At 41.9% G+C, this 23,310-nt stretch overlaps 1 protein-coding gene and 1 long non-coding RNA gene across 4 annotated transcripts in view; both read left to right on the top strand.

Annotated features, from left to right (window-relative positions):
* DNAAF4 (dynein axonemal assembly factor 4) overlaps positions 1-23,310 on the top strand; it is a 90,480-nt gene that overhangs the window by 3,597 nt on the left and 63,573 nt on the right. For all 3 annotated transcript variants that reach the window (NM_001033560.2, NM_001033559.3, NM_130810.4), the window contains exons 2-4: positions 6,054-6,431; positions 6,779-6,926; positions 13,382-13,515. In NM_001033560.2, coding sequence (NP_001028732.1) covers positions 6,309-6,431; positions 6,779-6,926; positions 13,382-13,515 — 405 coding nt within the window. In that variant the 5' untranslated portion in view covers positions 6,054-6,308. The remainder of the gene's footprint in view (positions 1-6,053; positions 6,432-6,778; positions 6,927-13,381; positions 13,516-23,310) is intronic.
* DNAAF4-CCPG1 (DNAAF4-CCPG1 readthrough (NMD candidate)) overlaps positions 6,054-23,310 on the top strand; it is a 143,362-nt gene continuing 126,105 nt past the window's right edge. Inside the window, exons 1-3 of the long non-coding RNA NR_037923.1 lie at positions 6,054-6,431; positions 6,779-6,926; positions 13,382-13,515. This is a non-coding gene — a long non-coding RNA (DNAAF4-CCPG1 readthrough (NMD candidate)). The remainder of the gene's footprint in view (positions 6,432-6,778; positions 6,927-13,381; positions 13,516-23,310) is intronic.

The raw sequence follows: 23,310 nt of genomic DNA, 5'->3' as shown, positions 1-23,310 counted from the left end.
ATCAGATGGTTGTAGATGTATAGTGTTATTTCTGAGGCCTCTGTTCTGTTCCATTGGTCTATATATCTCTTTTGGTACCAGTGCCATGCTGTTTTGGTTACTGTAGCCTTGTAGTATAGTTTGAAGTCAGGTAGTGTAATGCCTCCAGCTTTGATCTTTTTGTTTAGGATTGTCTTGGCTATGCGGGTTCTTTTTTGGTTCCATATGAACCTTAAAGTAGTTTTTTCCAATTCTGTGAAGAAAGTCATTGGTAGCTTGTTGGGGATAGCATTGAATCTATAAATTACCTTGGGCAGTAGGACCATTTTCGCAATATTGATTTTTCCTATCCATGAGCATGGAATGGTCTTCCATTTGTTTGTGTCCTCTTTTATTTCACTGAGCAGTGTTTTGTAGTTCTCCTTGAAGAGGTCCTTCACATCCCTTGTAAGTTGGATTCCTAGGTATTTTATTCTCTTTGTAGCAATTGTGAATGGGAGTTCACTCATGATTTGGTTCTCTGTCTGTTAATGGTGTATAGGAACGCTTGTGATTTTTGCACATTGATTTTGTATCCTGAGACTTTGCTGAAGTTGCTTATCAGCTTAAGGAGATTTTGGGCTGAGGCTATGCGGTTTTCTAAATAGACAATCATGTCGTCTGCAAACAGAGACAATTTGACTTCCTCTCTTCCTACTTGAATACCCTATATTGCTTTCTCTTGCCTGATTGCCCTGGCCAGAACTTCCATTACTATATTGAATTGGAGTGGTGAGAGAGGGCATCCTTGTCTTGTGCCGGTTTTCAAAGGGAATGCTTCCAGTTTTTGCCCATTCAGTTTGATATTGGCTGTGGGTTCCTCATAAATAGCTCTTATTATTTTGAGATACGTTCCAACAATACCTAGTTTATTGAGAGTTTTTAGCATGAAAGGCTATCGAATTTTGTCAAAAGCCTTTTCTGCATCTATTCAGATGATCATGTGGTTTTTGTCTTTGGTTCTGTTTATGTGATGGATTATGTTTATTGATTTGCGTATATTGAACCAGCCTTACATCCCAGGGATGGAGCCGACTTGATCGTGGTGGATAAGCTTTCTGAGGTGCTGCTGGATTCGGTTTGCCAGTATTTTATTGAGGATTTTTGCATCGATGTTCCTTAGGGATATTGGCCTAAAATTATCTTTTTTTGTTGTGTTTCTGCCAGGCTTTGGTATCAGGATGATGCTGGCTCATAAAATGAGTTGGGGAGGATTCCCTCTTTTCCGATTGATTGGAATAGTTTCAGAAGGAATGGTACCAGCTCCTCCTTGTACCTCCAGTAGAATTCGGCTCTGAATCCGTCTGGTCCTGGACTTTTTTTGGTTGGTAGGTTATTAATTATTGCTTCAATTGCAGAGCCTGTTATTGGTCTGTTCAGAGATTCAAATTCTTCCTGGTTTAGTTTTGGGAGGGTGTATGTGTCGAGGAATTTATGCATTTCTTCTAGATTTTCTAGTTTATTTGCGTAGAGGTGTTTATAGTATTCTCTGATGGTAGTTTGTATTTCTGTGGTATCGGTGGTGATATCCCGTTTATCATTTTTTATTGCGTCTATTTGATTCTTTTCTCTTTTCTTCTTTATTAGTCTTGCTACAGGTCTATCAATTTTGTTGATCTTTTCAAAAAACCAGCTGCTGGATTCACTGATTTTTTTGAATGGTTTTTTGTGTCTCTATCTCCTTCAGTTCTTTTCTGATCTTAGTTATTTCTTGCCTTCTGCTAGCTTTTGAATGTGTTTGCTCTTGCTTCTCTAGTTCTTTTAATTGTGATGTTAGGGTGTCGATTTTAGATCTTTCCTGCTTTCTTTTGTGGGCATTTAGTGCTATAAATTTCCCTCTACACACTGCTTTAAATGTGCCCCAGAGATTCTGGTACGTTGTGTCTTTGTTCTTACTGGTTTCAAATAACATCTTTATTTCTGCCTTCATTTCGATATTTACCCAGTAATTCAAGAGCAACAGCTACTTTTTTTTACCAGTCATCACGTAGGGAAGAAAAAATATCTTCTCCTTCTACCCTTCTAAGTTCTTGACTGGGGCCTTTGTAAGAAAAGAGAGATTAACAATACAAAAAACATACAAATTTATTCAATATAAGTTTACATAACATGGGAACCTTCTTAAGGACATGAAGAATGGAAGAAATGATTAAACCTGAGCATTTTTATGCTAGGTTTGATAGAGAATGAAAAGTCATAGGAAAACCTAATAACACAAAGGATATGAGCTGCAATTCCTTCAGCTTAAAATAATTAATTTTTAAATATTTAAATTTTAAAAATTTAATTAAAGTGTCATAATTTGGGGTAGCATGTCCTGAACTCCATCAATAGAATTACCCTTGCTTTCTGAAAACACTCATACTATGGGGGAACCAAACCTCCTTCTCCTAAATTCTAAAACTGTCTTACTGAGACACCCCATGATGTGTGTTCTCTCTTGCTCAGTGAGCAATGAATTCATCTTGTTCAACCACAAATGTCCCTGTGTCTCTGGCTGAAGGGCATATTTCAGAGATCTTAATAGTCTTTATTATGCCTTTTGGTGAGCACCACTTCTTTTTTTTTTTTCTTTTGAGACAGAGTCTTGCTCTTGTTGCCTAGGCTGGAGTGCAGTGGCATGATCTCGGCTCAATGCAACTTCCGCCTCCCAGGTTCAAGCGATTCTCCTGCCTCAGCCTCCTGAGTAGCTGGGATTACAGGCACACACCACCACCTCTGGCTAATTTTTGTATTTTTAATAGAGATGGGGTTTCACCATGTTGGCCAGGCTGGTCTCAAACTCTTAACCTCAAGTGATCCACCTGCCTCGGCCTCCCAAAGTGCTGGGATTACAGGCGTGAGCCACCCCGCCCAGCCCAGTGAGCAACACTTCTTAATTTTAGTTCGTTTTTAATTTTTTGCCTCCCTAATGAGTGCTTTTTATGTTATATTTAAGAAATCCTGGCCCGGCGTGGTGGCTTACACCTGTAATCCCGGCACTTTGGGAGGCCGAGGTGGGTTGATCACGAGGTCAGGAGATCGAGACCATCCTGGCTAACACGGTGAAACCCCGTCTCTACTAAAAATGCAAAAAATCAGCCGGATGCGGTGGCGGGCACCTGTAGTCCCAGCTACTAGGGAGGCTGAGGCAGGAGAATGGCGTGAACCCAGGAGGCGGAGCTTGCAGTGAGCCGAGATAGCGCCACTGCACTCCAGCCTGGGCGAAAGAGCGAGACTCCGCCTCAAAAAAAAAAAAAAAAAGAAAGAAAGAAATCCTGCCAGGCACAGTGGCTCACGCCTGTAATCCCAGCACTTTGGGAGGCCGAGGTGGGCGGATCATGAGGTCAGGAGATCGAGACCATCTTGGCCAATACGGTGAAACCCCGTCCCTACTAAAAATACAAAAATTAGCTGGGCTTCGTGGTGCATGCCCATAGTGCCAGCTACTCAGGAGGCTGAGGCAGGAGAATCGCTTGAACCCCGGAGGTGGAGGTTGCAGTGAGCCGAGATCGCGCCACTGCACTCCAGCCTGGTGAGAGAGTGAGACTCCGTCTGAAAAAACAACAACAAAAAAATCCTTTCTTACTCCAATATCATACAGGTATTTTTTTTTTTAAGTTTCCATTTTTTTTTTTTTTTTTTTTTGAGACTCAGTTTCACTCTTGTTGCTCAGGCTGGAGTGCAATGGCACGCTCTCAGCTCATGGCAACCTCTGCCTCCTGGGTTCAAGCAATTCTCCTGCCTCAGCCTCCCGAGTAGCTGGGATTACAGACATGTGCCACCATGCCTGGCTAATTTTGTATTTTTAGTAGAAACGAGCTTTCTCTATGTTCGTCAGGCTGGTCTTGAACTCCCAACCTCAGGTGATCCGCCCACCTCGGCCTTCCAAAGTGGTGGGATTACAGGCATGAGCCACCACGCCCGGCCAACTTGACAAGTTTTTAAGGTATAATTCATTCAGAGTCTAAAAGTTTAGTAGGATCATGGTAGTCAGGAGAATAATTTCACTGCAGAGGTGTGTATGTGTTTAGCAAAGTGATTGCTAACAGATTTTCCTGAAATCCCCGACAGCACAAAGTATCCTTTACATTATTATCTTTCATGCATATAAAATCTCACATATTTCTGTATAGTGGGAGAACCTGGACTTTAACATTTTATATGAAAGAAATGCATAAACCCTGTCTTTAGAAGATAATGTAAGATTTGGAAACAATATGGTAAAAGTAGGAATAGAACAAAAGGGGGAAAATGACAAAAGAAATTTTTTTAAAAAAGTCCATGGGATTCGTGGGTTTCTCAGCTTAAAGGGACAAGGGAAAGCAAGTCTAGGATGACTCCCAGTATTCAAAGTTACCAGAAGCTTGAGATGATGAACTGCTAAGGTAGTGAGTGTGCCCTATTTTGGGGAAAAGATGGTTTTCTCTTCAAGTCTGTTGCTCCTTATCTTTCCTCAATGAATTTCTAAGGAGCATTGAAATTTGTGTGAAAGAAAGGCTTCCAAAAGTAAATAAGTTTAAAATCCAGGGTTTTGTATTATACTTTCAGATTTCCACAAAGGCCCAGTTTCTCTGTTTTTTTTTTAAAGTTAAAAAAAAGTTGAAAATCAAAAGCCCCAAGTGGGAAGTAATTTGTGTGTATCTAAATATTGTATACATTCACTGTTTTATCCCAGCAATTTATAAACTGGGTGTGCAGAAAGCAGCCTGGAGCAAAAACATTGTAATGGGAGTTAAGAGATCAGGATTTTAATGATGGTCTGCTACTAATCTATACGAAAATGGTTTGTGTATAGGTTTCAGATTCCTTAAATATGTAGAATAAGACTACATAATCTTCAAGCTTCTCTGCAGCACTTAAGTTCAGATTCTACTTAAGCACTTACGGAATGTGTCAGTGTAATTCCAATTTACCCTATTCCAGATTTGTAGCAAAGCATTTGTCAGATGAATCATAGGGTGGTTTCTCTTCAGTTTTCAAACTTTGGAGCAAAACCTATATAGGTGCTTTTGGCGGCCTTACAGTTAATAGGATTTGCAGGATACAATAGTTTTAGACAAGCTCCTGGTATGTGTTGTGAACAAACGTTTTCTGAAGAGGAATTTGGAGCAAAGCAACTATTTCAGGGAACAGTTTGCAAACTGGGGAGTTGAAGCCTTAGGTGTAAAACAAAGGTGCATTCCAGAGAACAAAGGGAGGGTTTGGGTTTTACAGCAAAAGTTTCTGCCCAGGTTCCCAGTCAGGTTCGTTTATACAAATGAACGATTGAACCGCACTTAGTTCTGATTGGTTGATACAGCTGAGCCCTGATTGGTTGAGGCAGGTGAGCCCTATAAGACCCAACACTCAACAGAGGTGTGGGTTTGGGGAGAACGCAGAGTCCATGTGTGACCTCTAGTAGGTAAATGACCACGTGTCTCTATTTTAAATTTAGACCCAGTTAGCCGCTCTGGATGTTGACGGATTGGCTCTTTCAGGTTCACATTTGTTCACAGTCTGTATGACCAAGAAATTTGCAAAACAGAACAACTAGCGCTAACTCTTAATAGCCTCAGTCAGAATAAACAGACAAGACACTGCACCAAGGGCGTATGGGCATTGCACCTGCTCCTCATGGGCTGCTTTCCCGAGCCTTATGCCCACAGCCCTCCTTAGCATTATCGCATTATGAGGCTGGAAGTGCTTTTTTTTTTCTTTCTTTCTTTTTCTTTTCTTTTTTTTTTTTTGAGACGGAGTTTCGCTCTTGTTTCCCAGGCTGGAGTGCAATGGCGCGATTTCGGCTCACTGCGACCCCTGCCTCCCGGGTTCAAGCGATTCTGCTGCCTCAGCCTCAGCCTCCAGAGTAGCTGAGATTACAGGCATGCACCACCACGCCCGGCTAATTTTGTATTTTTAGTAGAGGCGGGGTTTCTCCATGTTGGTCAGGCTGGTCTCGAACTCCCAACCTCAGGTGATCCGCCCGCCTCGGCCTCCCAAAGTTCTGGGATTACAGGCGTGAGCTAGCGCGCCCGACCCACAGAGTGCTTTTTTTTTTTTTTTTTTTTCTCAAGCAGAGGGTATGGGTCTACTTCTTTGAACATTCGCTCAGATCGTAAGGTAACCCCAAGAATCGGCATCACTCTCTGGTCTGGGCGCCTGGATAGTCACGCATGGAGTCCGCGAGGTGCTGGCGCCGGAGCACGCTGGGAACGCCGGGCTCCCGGCCGGCCTGACCCGGAAGGGCTGGCGCATGGTAACCCCAGCTTCCCTAGCAACCAAGCAGGCGCAAGAAGCAACCAGCCGCGCTATCCGCTCCCGTTGCTACCGGAATGCCTCTTCAGGTTAGCGATTACAGCTGGCAGCAGACGAAGACTGCGGTCTTTCTGTCTCTGCCCCTCAAAGGCGTGTGCGTCAGAGACACGGACGTGTTCTGCACGGAAAACTATCTGAAGGTAAGAATGCAAGTCTTGCCTGCCGGTCTCCGGGGGTGTGGTCCGAAGCTTCTGCAAGAGCGCAGCTGGGCACGAGCAACAGGCTCATCTTTGCCGATAAACGTCCTAAATTTTTAATCCTATTAAAAAAATGAATCCCATACAGGTAACACACCATCTGTAGACAGATAATCAGATCAGAGACTACTTTTATCCAGGGCTTCCTCATATGCCTTGCTAATCTTTCACTACCTGGCATAAATTTAGTGGGCCTTTTAGAAAGTTATTTTACCTTTTTCACGTGTTTCTTAATACGCGTGCTTAATTTGTGTAACTAACTTAGTTTCTGTTTTCACCCTTCTGCATAGGTCAACTTTCCTCCATTTTTATTTGAGGCATTTCTTTATGCTCCCATAGACGATGAGAGCAGCAAAGCAAAGATTGGGAATGACACCATTGTCTTCACCTTGTATAAAAAAGAAGCGGCCATGTGGGAGACCCTTTCTGTGACGGGTGGTAAGTTCTTTATTAAAAGATGTTCATCTGGTTGTACCTTTTCGGTTTCAGACCTTTTAAAAAATTTTATTTTGAAGCACCTATATTGTGTAGGGGAAGATAGATTTTTTTTTTTTAAGAGTCTTGCTCTGTCGCCCAGGCTGGAGTGCAGTGACATGATCTCGGCTTACTGCAACCTCTGCCCCCGGGGTTCAAGGGATTCTCCTACCTCAGCCTCTCAAGTAGCTGGGATTATAGGTGTCCGCCACCACGCCCGGCTAAATTTTTTTGTATTTTTGGTAGAGCGTTTTGCCATGTTGGCCAGGCTGGTCTCACACTCCTGACCGGTCATTAAGTGATCCACCCGCCTTGACCTCCCAAAGTGCTGGGATTACGGGTGCGAGCCACCACACCCGGCCAGATAGACTTTCCTTTTACTCTCCAAGGTTCAATAGCTGGGTCTATAAAATAAACTAACAACAGAAGGATTGACAGAAGAAAATGTATAGAAATTTATGAATTTTTAATATTAGTGCTTGAGGGCATCACAGGGAAAAAAGTGAATACCCCCCAAGCGGTGAGATTTGAGAGTTTAGGGACTGTCTTAATAGGGGAAGGGGGAGGGGATGTAGGCCGCTTAGAACAGGAAATGATTTTTAGGAAAGATGAATGGATCCTTAGAAGAATAGATAGGAAATGTGATAGCTTTTAACAAAATTTGTCAGAGTGTGGTGTTGACTTGTAGTTTCCTTTTCTGGGAGAATAGTCAATATTCCCTGGTTAATGAAACTCCAGGGGAAGAGATTTATGACACTTGGGTTCCTTTGGAAAATCTGTTTTTAGGCAGATAAGAGGAGTTCTGGCAAAACCTCTCCCTGCATTTGCTGCTTTCAAGTGCCTTTAACTCAAAATGATCGCTATATGAAAGCAGCATATTTTGGGGTGGCATATCCTGAACTCATTCAATTGCTGTTTTAGAAAAAAAAAAAGGCTTATGAGCCTAATTTAAGTGATACAGTGCTTCAGCAGCCATTTAAATAAACCTAAAGGCTGAATTAGTCAAAGTTAGAGCACATTAAGCAGAAGATGTGGGCTCATGTCTTAAGGGTAAGCCCTCCTGATATATAGCCTTTATTGAGTACTTAACTTTGCGTTAGGTGTTAACATGCCTGTAATTCCATGAAACAACCTGTCACTTAGGTATTATTACCCTTTTTTTACAGGGGAGGCTACTGACATATGGAAAGTTTGAGTAATTGGCAAAATCACACAGCTAGTGACTGGCAGCCTGGAACTGGAGCCTTAGCAGTTTCACTCTAGAGCAGATGTTCCCAACCCTGGCTACATATTTGAATCAGCTATGGAATTTTAAAATAATACTCTAATCCAGTGAAATCAGTTTCTGGGAATAGGACTCAGGTGTTGGAAGTTTTGAAAAGCTTTCCAGGAATTATAATGTGCAGCCAAAGTTGAAATCCCCAGTTGTTGTTTGTTTGTTTGGAAAGACAGAGTCTCGCTCAGTCACCCAGGCTGGAGTGCAGTGATGCGATCTCGGCTCACTGCAACCTCCGCCTCCCTAGGTTTAAGTGATTCTTCAGCCTCAGCCTCCCAAGTAGCTGGGACTACAGGCACGTGCCACCACGTCCAGCTAATTTTTGTATTTTTTAGTAGAGACAAGGTTTCACTATATGTTGGCCAGGCTGGTCTCAAACTCCTGACCTCAAGTGATCCACCCACCTCGGCCTCCCGAAGTGCCGGGATTACAGCCATGAGCCACCGCGACCGGCCTGACATCCCCAGTTTTAAAGCTAGTTCTCTGTAGTCTTATTAAGCTAGTTGTCAGTGCTTTGTACTAATACCAAGATCAGCTTCCATAGTCAGTAATTGTCCTCTACTGCTTTAGCCCTGTTTTCCTCCTTCCTTCTTTAGTTGTCATGTTTTCTAATACTTTATGTTTACTGCCTGGAATTTATTTTTTTTAATTTTGAGTTTTTTAAGAGATAGAATCTCACCCTATCACCAACGCTGGAGTGCGGTTGGTGTTACCATAGCTCATTGTAACCTCAAACTCCTAGGTTCCAGCAATTCTCCTGCCTCGACCTCCTGAGTAGCAGGGACTACAGGTGTGCACCAAAACACCTAGGTAATTGTTTTTATTTTTGTAGAGACAGGGTCTCACTATGTTGCCGATAGGTCTTGAACTCCTAGGCTCAAGTGATCCTCCCACTTTGGCCTCCCAAATGCTGGGATTTCAGGCGTGAGCCACTGCACCCAGACTACTGCCTGGAATTTCTTTTAAGCCTTTGGCATTAAGCCTTGAATATGGACTCTTGAGGGTAGAAAGAGTTGCAACCATTCTTTCTATCAAGGCTTTCTTGGTATCTTGTAGTGGAATTTAATTTTTAATTTCCAAGACCAAGGTAGAATTTATTTTTCTAAGATCGGGTATTCAGCTCAGAGAATACTGGTTAAGGTAGGTTAACATAGCCAGTTTACTTAATTTTTTTTTTTTTTTTTTTTTTTTTTTTAGTGAGCCCCAGACTACCTAAAGAGTTTTAAAGAATCAGGTTCCTGTTTTTTGACCTCTTACTTCCTCTGTGACTCAGTAAGTCTATGTTGGGGCCTGAGGATGTCATAACACACCCAGTCTGTTTTGACTTCTTACCTAAAATTGAATATACATTTATTTTGACTCTTGTAAATTAACTTTTTCTGTAAAGGACCAGATAGTATTTTAGACTTCACAGGCCATATGGTCTCTGTCATATCTATTCAGCTCTGCCATTGTAGCACAAAAGTAGCCACAGGTGATTCATATTTATGGACAATGAAATTTGAATTTCATCTAATTTTTAAATGCCACAAAATGTTATTTTGATTTTTTTCATCCATTTAAAAATGTGAAAATTATTCAAGGCTTGTGGGCTGAGGGGAAACAGGTGGCAGGTCGGATTTGGCCCATGGGTCATAGTTTGCCAACCTCTGATTTAGACAAATCAAAACAGTCTTAAAACTGACTTAAGCTCAGCGCAGTGGCTCATGCTTGTAATCCCATCACTTTGGGAGGCCGAGGCAGGTGAATCACCTGAGGTCAGGAGTTTGAGACCAGCCTGGCCAACATGGTGAAACCCTGTCTCTACTAAAAATACAAAACTTCGTCAGGCGTGGTAGTGGATGCCTGTAGTCCCAGCTACTTGGGAGGCTGATGCAGGAGAATCGCTTGAACCCGGGTGGTGGAGGTTGCAGCGAGCTGAGATCTCACCACTGCACTCCAGCCTGCGCAACAGAGCGAGACTCCATCTCAAAAAAAATAAAAAATAAAAAACCACTAATTTATATCACAATGAACATTGATTCTACTTCAGAAACCAGGTTTGAGATTCCTTTAGAAATCAAACTCAGTTTGCCGGGCGCGCTGGCTCACGCCTGTAATCCCAGCACTTTGGTAGGCCGAGGCGGGCTGATCATCTGAGGTTGGGAGTCCGAGACCAGCCTAACCAACATGGAGAAACCCCGTCTCTACTAAAAATACAAAATTAGCCGGGCATGGTGGCGCATACCTGCAATCCCAGCTACTCAGGAGGCTGAGGCAGGAGAATCACTTTAACCCGGGAGGCGGAGGTTGCGGTGAGCCGAGATTGTGCCATTGCACTTCAGCCTGGGCAACAAGAGCGAAACTCAGTCTCAAAAAAAAAAAAAAACAAGAAAGAAATCAAACTCAGTTTTGCCAGGTTACAGTGGCTCATGCCTAAAGTAATCTCAGCACTTTAGGAGGCCAAGGTGGGAGGATCATTTGAGCCCAGGAATTCAAGACCAGCCTGGGCAACATAGGGAGACTTCACCTCTATTAAAAAAAAAAAATTAGCCGGGCATAGTGGCATGTGCCTTATAGTCCCAGCTACTTGGGAGGCTGAGGTTGGAGGATCACTTGAGCCCAAGAGGTGGAGGCTGCAGTAAGCCATGCTCATAATGCTGCACTCCAACCTGGGTGACAGTATGTGATCCTCTCTCAAAAAAAAGAAATCAAACTCAATTTTACTTGCAATTCAGTGGGATTATTTATTTAACCATTTTTTTTTCACATAAAATATTGTGGAACTCCAGTTTATACACGTAGACTGTCTACCTCATTATTCAGACTCTAATTTTTCTCATTTTTTCTGGAAATTCCTTCTTGATACACTCTTTATTTCTATTAGACATGGAGTATTTCATTTGGGAAGTTAATGTTCTTCCAGTTATTTCTGCCGCTGAAGCTGACTTAGCTGTCTACCTTCCTGTTTTTAAACAGCAGGAGAGATGAGAAGAGGCTTCAGACCTAACTTCAGTACTAGTTCTTAGCCAAGATCTTAGATGAATAAAATTACACACTTTTACTTACCTCTAACTGATATTTAACATTCTCTTCAATTGTGAAGATAGGCAACAAATAATAGTAGTATCTTAGTCTGTTTGGGTACTATAACAAAATACCATCAACTGAGAAGCTTATAAACAACAGAACTTTATTTCTCACACTCCTGTAGGCTGGGAAGTCCAGATCAAGGTCCTGGCAGGTTTGGTATGCGGTGAGGGCTCACTTTCCTGTAGATGGCACCGTACTGTGTCCTCACATGGTGGAAGGGGCAAGTCTGCTTTCTGGGGCCTTCTGTATAAGGACACTACCTCCCAAAAGGCCTCACCTACAAATAATATCACATTAAGGGTTGGGATTTTAACATAAGAGTTTTAGGGAGACATAAACATTCAGACCATAGCAAGTAGTATCAACAAAAACAAAAGTATGTTTATATCAGAGATACCTCTTTTATACTCTACTTTGAAATTACAATATTAGACTTGTTGCTATATATTAATGCATTAATAAAGAAGCACATAATCGTGTATCACAATTTGGCCGGCCGCAGTGGCTCACGCCTGTAATCCCAGCACTTTCGGAGGCCAAGGCAGGCGGATCACAAGGTCAGGAGATCAAGACCATCCTGGCCAACATGGTGAAACCCCGTCTGTACTAAAAATATAAAAATTAGGTGGGCGTGGTGATGCCCACCCGTAGTCCCGGCTACTTGGGAGGCTGAGGCAGGAGAATTGCTTGAACCCAGGAGGCGGGGGTTGCAGTGAGCTGAGATCGGACCACAGCACTCCAGCCTGGCAACAGAGCAAGACTCCGGCTCAAAAAAAAAAAGTATATCACAATTTTATTTCTTAATGTTTTATAAGTGTTTTGATATAACTGAGTTTCTTTGTAGACCTGTATATTTTATTTCATACATTTTAAAACATTGTGAAAGGATTTATAAGGATTCACTACTCTGCCAAGGTGTCTGCTGCACAAAAAAGGTTAAGAACCCATGCCTGGGGTATGATTCATCCCTCTACCCACCCCTTATCTACTCTCCCCTACTTTGTCTTCCCCTCAAGTTTTCTCCTCTCCCCTTCTGTTTTTTTTTTTCTGCTTAAAGGCTAGATCTTTTCCCTTAGGCTCTGATCCTTCCCTTTGTAAGATAATTTACCCATTGATCGTAGTCTTCAGTTTGTGAAACTTTGGGCCACATCAAATATAAAGATAACTGTGAGATCTTGCGTGGTGGCTCATGCCTGTAATTCCAGCACTTTGGGAGGCCAAGGTAGGAGCATCGCTTGAGCCCAGGAGTTCAAGACCAGCCTGGGCAATATAGTGAGACCTCGTCTCTACATAAAATTTAAAAATTAGCCAGATGTGTTGGCACACACCTGTAGTCCCAGCTACTCAGGAAGCTGAGGTAGGAGGATTGCTTGAGCCCAGGAGGTTAAGGTTACATTAAGCTGTGATTGCTTAACTGCACTCCAGCAGCCTGGGTGACAGAGAGAGACCTAGTCTCAGGAAAACAAACAAACAAGCTGTGGATGGTAAGGTTTTATATATATTTATATATATTATATAAAATATTATATATAAATATATATAAAACCTTACCTATTATATTATTATATACTATTATAATATAATATTATATATTATATTATATACTATTATATAATAATAGTATATAATATTATTATATAATAATATAATATTATCTATAATATATAATATATATTTTATATTTTATATATTATATAAATGATGATTTATTGTGATCAGGTTTATAAGCAAATAGCCCTAGTTTCTTAACAGAGAAGGAAGAGGATAAATGTGTCCTTGCACCTTCATCCTCACCCTCTCCCTCTCATTACCTGCCTCTTGTGTCCCTCCCCCATCCCTTCTTCTTCCTCTCCACCCCCTTCATTCTCTAGTCATTCATTATTATTACAGTTAGTTGCTTACCTTTTAACATTAGCTTCTTGGCCAGTTTAATATTGAAAAATATTTTCCATGTTCCTTGTGAAGTTGGGTACAAAGAAATCTCATCCTGGGTCAGTTTATTTAAGTAGTTTTCTCATAAGTAAAGCAAATTTGTCATAATTCTAATTTAGCAATATTCTGTACATTTTAGTTGACAAAGAGATGATGCAAAGAATTAGAGAAAAATCTATTTTACAAGCACAAGAGAGAGCAAAAGAAGCTACAGAAGCAAAAGCTGCAGCAAAGCGGGAAGATCAAAAATACGCACTAAGTGTCATGATGAAGGTAAGTTGCAGAATGACAGGCAAGTCCTCTAAAGAGATAATAGTAGACTATGTGAGGATAGTGAGTTCCAGCTGCTGGACTTCCTCAGCATTTTCTTCATACTTTGTTTAGAGGACTTACTATGTTATATAGACTGTCTGCTATTTATATGTGTGTTTTTTTTTTTCTTGAGACCGAGTCTCACTCTGTCGCCCAGGCTGGAGTGCAGTGCGGTGATCTGGGCTCACTGCAAGCTCCACTTCCCGGGTTCATGCCATTCTCCTGCCTCAGCCTCCTGAGTAGCTGGGACTACAGGCACCTGCCACCATGCCAGGCTAATTTTTTTGTGTTTTTAGTAGAGACAGGGTTTCACCGTGTTAGCCGGGATGGTCTCGATCTCCTGACCTCGTGATCTGCCCGTCTCGGCCTCCCAAAGTGCTGGGATTAGAGGCGTGAGCCACCGTGCCCGGCCCATGTTTGTTCTTGAAATCTGAATGAAAGTCAAAGGTGTAAAAGTTGGACAGTTGTTTCAGGGAGAGGGTTCTATTTCTAGGGGAGTAAAAATAAAGTTTCAATGGTGCAAGTGTTTTACTTCTTTTTAAATCTTGGAATAACAGATATGATTTTAAAACAGAAGCATATTTAAAACATTATTGTCAAATTTTTTTAACTGTTAAGGGTTTTAAGTGAAAGTTTTAATCAGCAATATATTTTTTGAGAAACAATTCACATTCCATATAATTTACCCATTTAAAGTGTACAATTTAATAGTTTTTAGTACATTCAGAGTTGTGTAACCATTACTACAGTCAATTTTAGAACATTTTCATCACCCCCCAAAAAGCACCAATACCCCTAAGCAGCCACTCCCCATTTCCCCTAACACTTAGTCCTAGGCAACTGCTTATCTATTTTCTGTCTCAATAGATATACCTATTTTGAGTAATTTTTACAAAAAAATTCTTATCTCAGGCCAAGCGCAGTGGCTCATGCCTGTAATCCCAGCACTTTTGGGAGGCCGAGGCGGGCGGATCATGAGGTCAGTAGTTCAACACCAGCCTGGCCAACACAGTGAAACCCTGTCTCTACTAAAAATACAAAAATCAGCCGCGCGTGGTGGTGGGCACCTGTAATCCCAGCTACTCGGTAGGCTGAGGCAGGAAAATCGCTTGAACCCAGGAGGTGGAGGTTGCAGTGAGCGGAGATTGCGCCACTGCACTCCAGCCTGGGCGACAGAGTGAGACGCCGTCTCAAAAAAAAAAAAAAAACTTCTTATCTCGAATTCCCATTTTGACATGTTGCAGTGACTAAGGAATCTATAATACGCATTATTTAAGATTTTTGTGGACCCATGACTGTTTTTTGGATTTTCATAACTAGCATTGTTTTCTATTATCAACAGTTTATGATTCCAAAGATTTGTCCACTTTTTTTATCACTTCCACTTAACTTTTTTTTTTTTTTTTTTTGAAATGGTGTCTGGCTCTGTTGCCCAGGCTGGAGTGCAGTGGTGAGATCTCAGCTCACTGCAACCTCTGCCACTCGGGTTCAAGAGATTCTCATGCCTCAGTCTCCTGAGTAGCTGGGACTACAGATGTGCACCACCACGCCTGGCTAATTTTTTATATTTTTAGTAGAGACAGGGCTTCACCATATTGGCCAGGTTGGTGTCGAGCTCCTGACCTCAAGTGATTCACCCGCCTTGGCCTCCCAAAGTGTTGGGATTACAGGCATGAGTCACCGCACTGAGCCATATACTTTGTCTTTTACTTAATAATTGAACTGGTCAGCTGGTCAAAGATTCCTGCCTTTAGCATACTTAATTCCATCTTTTCTTTATTGTATGATCACAGCTGTTGGCCTTTTGATTTTATCATTTTCATGAATTTAAAAAAATTAATATAGAATTTGTGGCAATAGATATTCACTGAAATAATAAAACAGTTAAATAATGGCACACTTACTGCTGTATTGGTATGTCAAAACAGAACAGTTGACCAGCAGGAAGCACCACTATGTTGTACCTTGAAGGTTTGTTTTTTGTTTTTTTTTTTTGAGATGGAGTCTTGCTTAGTCGCCCAGGCTGGAGTGCAGCGGCGCAATCTCAGCTCACTGCAAGCTCTGCATCCTGGGTTCACACCATTCTTCTGCCTCAGCCTCCCGAATAGGTGGGACTACAGGTGCCTGCCACTACGCCTGGCTAATTTTTTTGTATTTTTAGTAGAGACAGGGTTTCACTGTGTTAGCCAGGATGGTCTCGCTCTCCTAACCTCGTGATCTGCCCGTCTTGGCTTCCCGAAGTGCTGGGATTACAGGTGTGAGCTGCCGCACCCAGCTGAAGTTTTCAATTTACTAATGTATGAAAGCTTGACTTTGGTATTGGGAAAGGTGATTTAGAGGAATTAATATATAAAATATGAAGATACGGGTTATATTAAGAGGACAGAACCTACAAAAGCCAGTATCCTGTTCCACAAATTGTCTGTTTTCTCTCTTCCCTCAGTAGTGTTGAGAGTTGGGAGTATGTTTTGTTTCATCCTTATTATAGCCATTATCAAGTAAATTGGTGCTCAAACATTTGAATAAATTAATATGAATGCATTACTCTAGTACTATGTACCCGTAGCAAACGTCTACTTTGGTGAATTAGCTGAAGCTATTTTCACTCTGTGCAATCCTAGACACTGTTAAGAAAAGAACTTTGACGATCCAGTAAGAGCAAATAGTAACAAAAGGCAACATATTGTTAGCTTAAGTTAGCATAAATTAATTTAAAACTTGAAGGACATCTACCAAAAATAAGTGGTTTTTAAGTAGTAACCTTTTAAAAAATAATTAGTGGGGCTGTGTCAATTCGCTATACTGTGTGTACAGGTATTATTCTGCTTGGGCTACCCTAACAAAATGTTGTTTAACAGAAATTTATTTTCTCATAGATCAAGGTCTGGTAGGGTCTCTTTCTGGTTAGACTCTCTGTTTTTGGGGCCTTCTTGCTGCGCTCTTACGCAGCAAAAAAAAAAAAAGAAAAAGAAAAAGATTGGTATTTCATCCTGAGAGTATGGTCAAGGAATCCAAAGCAGTATTGTTTGTGCTGAATCCTGGAAAATGAATCACAATTAGGTTCCTGGTAGAAAGAGAGGGAAAACCTCATTGCAGAAGTGCTTTTAAAGCCCCTGCTGTGTCATATTTGCTAATGTACCATTAGCCAAATCAAGTCACATAGCCAAGTCCAGATTTAAAGATTGGAAAAATAGACTATACTTCTTGGAAAGAGAGGTATAATGGGAAAATGACATTACAATTTGGATAGGTATATGAAAATAAGGCACACAAAGGAACATTTATTGGTCAGAAATAATATCCTAATGTGTCCAGAATTTATTCCCTCTGGTGGGTTCTTGGTCTCACTGACTTCAAGAATGAAGCCGCATACCTCATGGTGTGTTACAGCTCTTAATGGTGGCGCGTCCGGAGTTGTTTGTTCCTCTCGGTAGGTTCGTGGTCTTGCTGAGTTCAGGAATTAAGCTGCAGACCCTCACGGTGACTGTTACAGCTCTTAAAGGTGGCGCGGACCCGAAGAGTGAGCAGCAGCAAGATTTATTATGAAGAGTGAAAGAACAAAGCTTCCACAGCATGGAAGGGGACCCGAGCCAGTTGCCGCTGCTGGCTGGGGTGGCCAGCTTTTATTCCCTTATTTGTCCCCGTCTATGTCCTGCGGATTGGTCCATTTTACAGAGTGCTGATTGGTCCATTTTACAGAGTGCTGATTGGTGCGTTTACAATTGTTAAGCTAAACACAGAGCACTGATTGGTGCATTTTTCCAGAATGCTGATTGGCGCGTTTACAATCCTTTAGCTAGACACAGAGCACTGATTGGTGCATTTTTGCAGAGTGCTGATTGGTATGTTTACAATCCTTTAGCTAGACACAGAGCGCTGATTGGTGCATTTTTACAGAGTGCTGATTGGTGCGTTTACAATCCTTTAGCTAGACAGGAAAAGTTCTCCAAGTCCCCACTTGACCCAGGAAGTCCAGCTGGCTTCACCTCTCACTAAGATTTTGAAAAATTTCTCAAAGGTTATAGAGAACTCTCTTAAGGGATTTTCCACAAAAGTGTAAAATTAGTTGAGTTTGTCTTTTAGAAAGCTCGTTCTGGCTAATGAGTTTGAAGAGGTTGCAGGGAGGAGGCAGAGTTTTTGTTAAGATGGAGAAATTTTGAGCATACGTATGTTGAGGAAGGAAGCCAGTAAAGAGGGAAAGGTTAATAATACAATGAAGAGAGAAGATTGATGATGGAGCAGTTTTCTGGTGATATGGGGATATTTTATCATTTTTGCTAATTAAAAATAAACTTTTTTTTTTTTTTGAGACAGGGTCTGTTGCCCAGGCTGGAATGCAAAATGGCGCAATTACAGCTCACTACATTGACCTCGCAGGTTCGAGAGATCCTCCCACCTCAGCTTCCCAAGTAGCTAGGACTATAGGTGTATGCCACCATGCCCTGCTAATTTTTTTGTAGTTTTTGTAGAGATGGGGTCTAACTATGTTGCCCAGCAGGAACAAAGAATAGATATCTAAGGATCTGGAAAATTCTTAAGCACACAGATAATTAAAGGAATTTTTACTTTGCTTGGTAAAGAAGCAGGGTCATCTGGGCATGGTGGCTCATGCCTGTAATCCCAGCACTTTGGAAGGCCGAGGCAGGTGGATCACCTGAAGTCAGGAGTTCAAGATCAGCCTGGTCAATATGGTGAAAACCTGTCTCTACTAAAAATACAAAAATTAGCTGGGCGTGGTGGCAGGCACCTGTAATCTTAGCTACTCTGGAGGTTGAGGCAGGAGAATGGCTGGAACCCAGGAAGCGGAGGTTGCAGTGAGCTGAGATCATGCCATTGCACTCCCGCCTGGGTAACAAAGAGTGAAACTTCATCTCCAAAAAAAAAAAAAACCAACCAACCAACCAACCAAACAAACAGAAAAACGAGGCAGGGTCATCAACAGAAAGGGAGAGATTGAGGTGGAGGTATAGGGATATGAGGTGATTAGTGGAAGCTTGGAATACTGATGCCAGAGTCTTCCAAAATGTGCTTTTTTTTCCTCTTCGCTAATCTTGGCTGCTACTGCCTCCTTTTTTTTTTTTTTTTTTTTGAGATGGAGTCTCGCTCTGTTGTCCAGGCTGGAGTGCAGTGGCGCAGTCTTGGCTCACTGCAAGCTCTGCCTCCTGGGTTCATGCCATTCTCCTGCCTAAGTTTCCCGAGTAGCTGCGACTACAGGTGCCCGCCACCACGCCCATCTAATTTTTTGTATTTTTTGGTAGAGATGGGGTTTCACCGTGTTAGCCAGGATGGTCTCGATCTCCTGACCTCGTGATTTGCCTGCCTCAGCCTCCCAAAGTGCTGGGATTACAGGCGTGAGCCACTGCGCTTGGCCGCCTACTTTTCCTGTCTTCTTCACTATTTTGTTCTGTACATTACCCACTTCTATCTTGAATTTTTTTTTTATCATTTCTTGTTTTTGTTTTGTTTTCCGCTTCAATGGAACTCTTTTTTCCAACTGATCTTTTAAACTGGATAGGTCAAATTTGAAGTGCATTTTTCTGCTGTGGTTTCTTAAAGTTGAAACCCAGAAACCTTAATCTTTGAAAGAGGTTTGCCTGATCATGCAGATAAGGTATGAGTTGCTAGTTGTCTATTTAATGCCATAGGACCTCAAAATGATCCTTATCAGTGAATACACATGCCCTGTTTATCATGGGCATGTATAACTAATGTACAAAAAGACCACAATGAACTGCTTTGCCATTTTATTCTATTTTATGATAATAACTTTCATGATTCTGGCATTTAAAAAATCCTCCCATCTTTCTTTTTTCTTTCATCTCATTCCTCTTCAGTGTATGTCAGACTTTCTCAGCAGCCTGTCTTCCACTTTTACATGTTTTGTATTTTCTCCATAAACCCGTTCTTAGAGCTCTGTACTTTTGGTATCTCCTGTTCTGATGTCTTTGGCCAGTGTTTATTCATTTATGTGTTATTGGACACTTGGGTTGCTTCCACCCTTTGGCTAGTGTGAATAATGCTGCTGTGAACATGATGTGATGGTTAATACTGACTGTCAACTGATTGGATTGAAGGATGCAAAGTATTGATCCTGGGTGTGTCTGCGAGGGTGTTGCCAAAGGAAATTAACATTTGAGTCAGTGGGCTGGGAAAGGCAGACCCACCCTTAATCTGGGTGGTCACCATTGAATTGGCTGCCAGCATGGCTAGTATATAAAGCAGGCAGAAAAATATGAAAAGACGAGACTGGCCTAGCCTCCCAGCCCACATCTTTTGCTCGTGCTGGGTGTTTCCTGCCCTCGAACATGGGACTTCAAGTTCTTCAGTTTTGGAACTTGGACTGGTTCTCCTTGCTTCACAGCTTGCAGCAGGCCTATTGTGATACCTTGTGATTGTGTGAGTTAATACTTAATAAACTCCCCTTTATATATATCTATCTATACTATTAGTTATGTCTCTCTAAAGAACCCTGACTAATATACACGAGTATAAAAATATCCCTTTGAAATCTTGCTTTCAATTGTTTTGGGCTTGTATCTAGAAGTGGATATAGCAGATCATATGGTAATGGTAATTCTGTTTTTTTTTTTTTTTTTCCTGAGACGGAGTCTCACTCTGTTGCCCAGGCTGGAGTGCAGTGGTGCGATCTCGGCTCACTGCAAGCTCCGCCTCCCAGGTTCAAGCCATTCTCCTGCCTCAGCCTCCCCAGTAGCTGGGACTACAGGTGCTCACCACCACGCCTGGCTAATTTTTTTTGTATTTTTAGTAGAGACAGGGTTTCACCATGTTAGCCAGGATGATCTCGATCTCCTGACCTCGTGATTCACCTGTCTCAGCCTCCCAAAGTGCTGGGATTACAGGCATGAGCCACCGCGCCCGGCCTATTTTTAATTTTTTGAGGAATTGCCATACTGTATTCCATGGCATTTGGACCATTTTATGTTTTCATCACAGTGTGCAAGGATTCCGGTTTCTCCCATTCTCACTAACACTTGTTATTTTGGTTTTTTGAGAGTAGCCATCCTAATGGGTGTGAAGTGGTATCTCATTGTGGTTTTGATGTGCTCTTCAGTGCCATTTTAATTTGAACTATATCTCTGAAACCCACTCATTCCCTTTTTTCCTAAATCTTTGAGATATTGGTAAGTATAACATTTATTCTTGCTTGCTCTTTTCCTCTCTTCTCCCATTATTTGGCCTATGCTTTCTCTTAAAAAAAAAAAAAAAAAAAAAAAAAAAAAAAAAAAAAAGCTTTATTGGCTGGGTGTGATGGCTCATGCCTGTAATCCCAGCACTTTGGGAGGCTGAGCAGGTGGACTGCTTGAGGTCAGGAATCCGAGACCAGCCTGGCCCATCTCTACTAAAAATACAAAAAATTAGCCGTGTGTGGTGGTGTGCACTTGTAATCCCAGCTACTCCGGAGGCTGAGGCAGGAGAATCACTTGAACCCAGAAGACAGAGGTTGCAGTGGGCCAAGATTGTGCCACTGTATTCCAGCCTGGGCGACAGAGTGAGACTCCATTTCAAAAACAAAAACAAACCCCAGCTTTATTGAGATATAATTTATATACCATAAAGTTCATTCTTTTAAAGTGTAGAATTCATTGTTTCTTAGTATGTATACAAGTTATTCAGCCATCACCACTATGTAATTCTGGAACATTTCATAACCATAAAAAGAGACCTATTGGCCAGGCATGGTGGCTCACACCTGTAATCCCAGCACTTTGGGAGGCTGAGGGGGGCGGATCACAAGGTCAAGAGTTTGAGACCAGCCTGGCCAATATGGTGAATTCCCATCACTATTAAAAATACAAAAATTAGCCAGGTGTGGTGGTGTGCATCTGTAGTCCCAGCTACTCGGAAGGCTGAGGCAGGAGAATTGCTTGAACCTGGGAGGCAGAGGTTGCATTGAGCCGAGATTGAGCCACTGCACTACAGCCTAAGCGACAGAGCAAAACTCTGTCTCAAAATAAATAAATAAATAAATAAATAAAGAGCCCTATTTTCATTAGCAGTCACTCCCTACTTTTCCCTCCACCATAGCCCCTGGAGGAGACAGAATCTACTGTCTGTTTCTATAGATTTGTTTACTCTAGACATTTCACATACAGTGTGTGGTCTTTGGATGTGATGCCCATCAGTCTTTATGGGAGGCTTTCTTTCACTTAGCAAAATGTATATAGGGCTTATACATATTGTAGCATGTATAAGTTTTTCATTCCTTTTTATGGATGAATAATATGGCATAGTATGGATGGCACCACATTTTGTTTATCCATTCATCAGTTGGTGAAAATTTAGGTTCTCTTCACCTTTTGGCTATTACAAATAGTACTACTATGACCATTCATGTACTTCTAGTATTTAAGTATCTGTTTTTTGTTTTGTTTTGTTTTGTTTTTGAGATGGAATCTTGCTCTGTTGCCCAGGCTGGAGTGCAATGGCATGATCTCAGCTCACTGCAACCTCTCCTTCCTGGGTTCAAGTGATTCTCCTGCCTCAGCCTCCTGAGTAGCTGGGATTACAGGCAAGCACCACCATGCCCAGCTCGTTTTTTGTATTTTTTGGTAGAGAGGGGGTTTTGCCATGTTAGCCAGGCTGGTCTCTAACTCTTGACCTCAGGTGATCCACCCACCTCGGCCTCCCAAAGTGCTGAGATTGCATGCATGAGCCACCACGCCTGGCCTTGAGTGTCTGTTTTTAATTCTTTCATGTATATACTTAGGAATAGAATTGCTGGGTCATTTGTAATTCTGTTTAGCTTTTTGGGGAATCATCAAATAGTTTTCCACAATGGCTATACTATTTTTCATTCCCACCAACAATGTATGATGATTCTAATTTTTTTACATCTTTGCCAACACTTCTGTTGTTGCCAGATGGAAAGTCTTGACTATGAGTTGTCCCAGTTCTTGGCACATTAAACAAAGAATTGAACAAAATGCACAAACAAAGCAATAAAAGAACAAAACAACGAAAGTGCAGGTTTACTGAAGCAAAAGTACACTCCACAGAGTGTAAGCGGGCTCAAGCAAGCAGCTCAAGAGCCCCGATTGCAATGTTCTTTCAGGTTTGTACTAAACTAAAAGAATTTGGTAGCATTCCTGGGTACCGTTTAGAGGCTTCCCATTGGTTGCACCCTACACAAATGAAGGCTTGGCCCATTACTAATCAGAGGCTGAAGTGAAGTCTTGGCCCATAACTAATTAGCAATAGGGGAGAGAGGGGGTTTTGTAGAGGGAGGGGCCTCTGGCCCTTGGCATGGAGAGGTGGGGTTTTTCTTTTGGCCCAATTCCAATAAGCCAGCTGCTAGTTGGCCTCAGGCTCCCTGTTCCAGACCCTGTTCTGCCTCATTTCCCCCTGAGAGACTTGATCCCAATAAATCTTTATGGGAGGCAGAGGAACTGATGGTCTGTCTTCTGTAATTGCTTCGTGCGGATTAGGGCAGAGTCCCTACATATTGGGGACCACAGAACTCTTGCCCTGCTCTGTCTAGTGGAGAGAGGGTGACTTCTTGAAGGCTAGGGCTGGCATCGTCACCTGGAACTGGCTAGAAGCCCTGCTGCATGATCATTTGAAGCTTAATGTTCTCTAGGTGAGAAGAAATAAATCTGGTTACATGATTAAACAAAAATGGTCCAAAAATCAATGTAAGTACAAGTATTAATAATGTGCTGGCTAGGGGAAGGAGCCATGAAACCCAGCTTAGTATCCTTGACCAGGGGCCCCATGACTTGGACAACTGTTGTCATA

This window comes from Homo sapiens, chromosome 15 (genome assembly GCF_000001405.40).
Source record: "Homo sapiens chromosome 15, GRCh38.p14 Primary Assembly".
NCBI lineage: Eukaryota > Metazoa > Chordata > Mammalia > Primates > Hominidae > Homo > Homo sapiens.
Note: the sequence above shows the minus strand (reverse complement) of the source record. Positions and strands in the feature narration are given on the sequence as shown.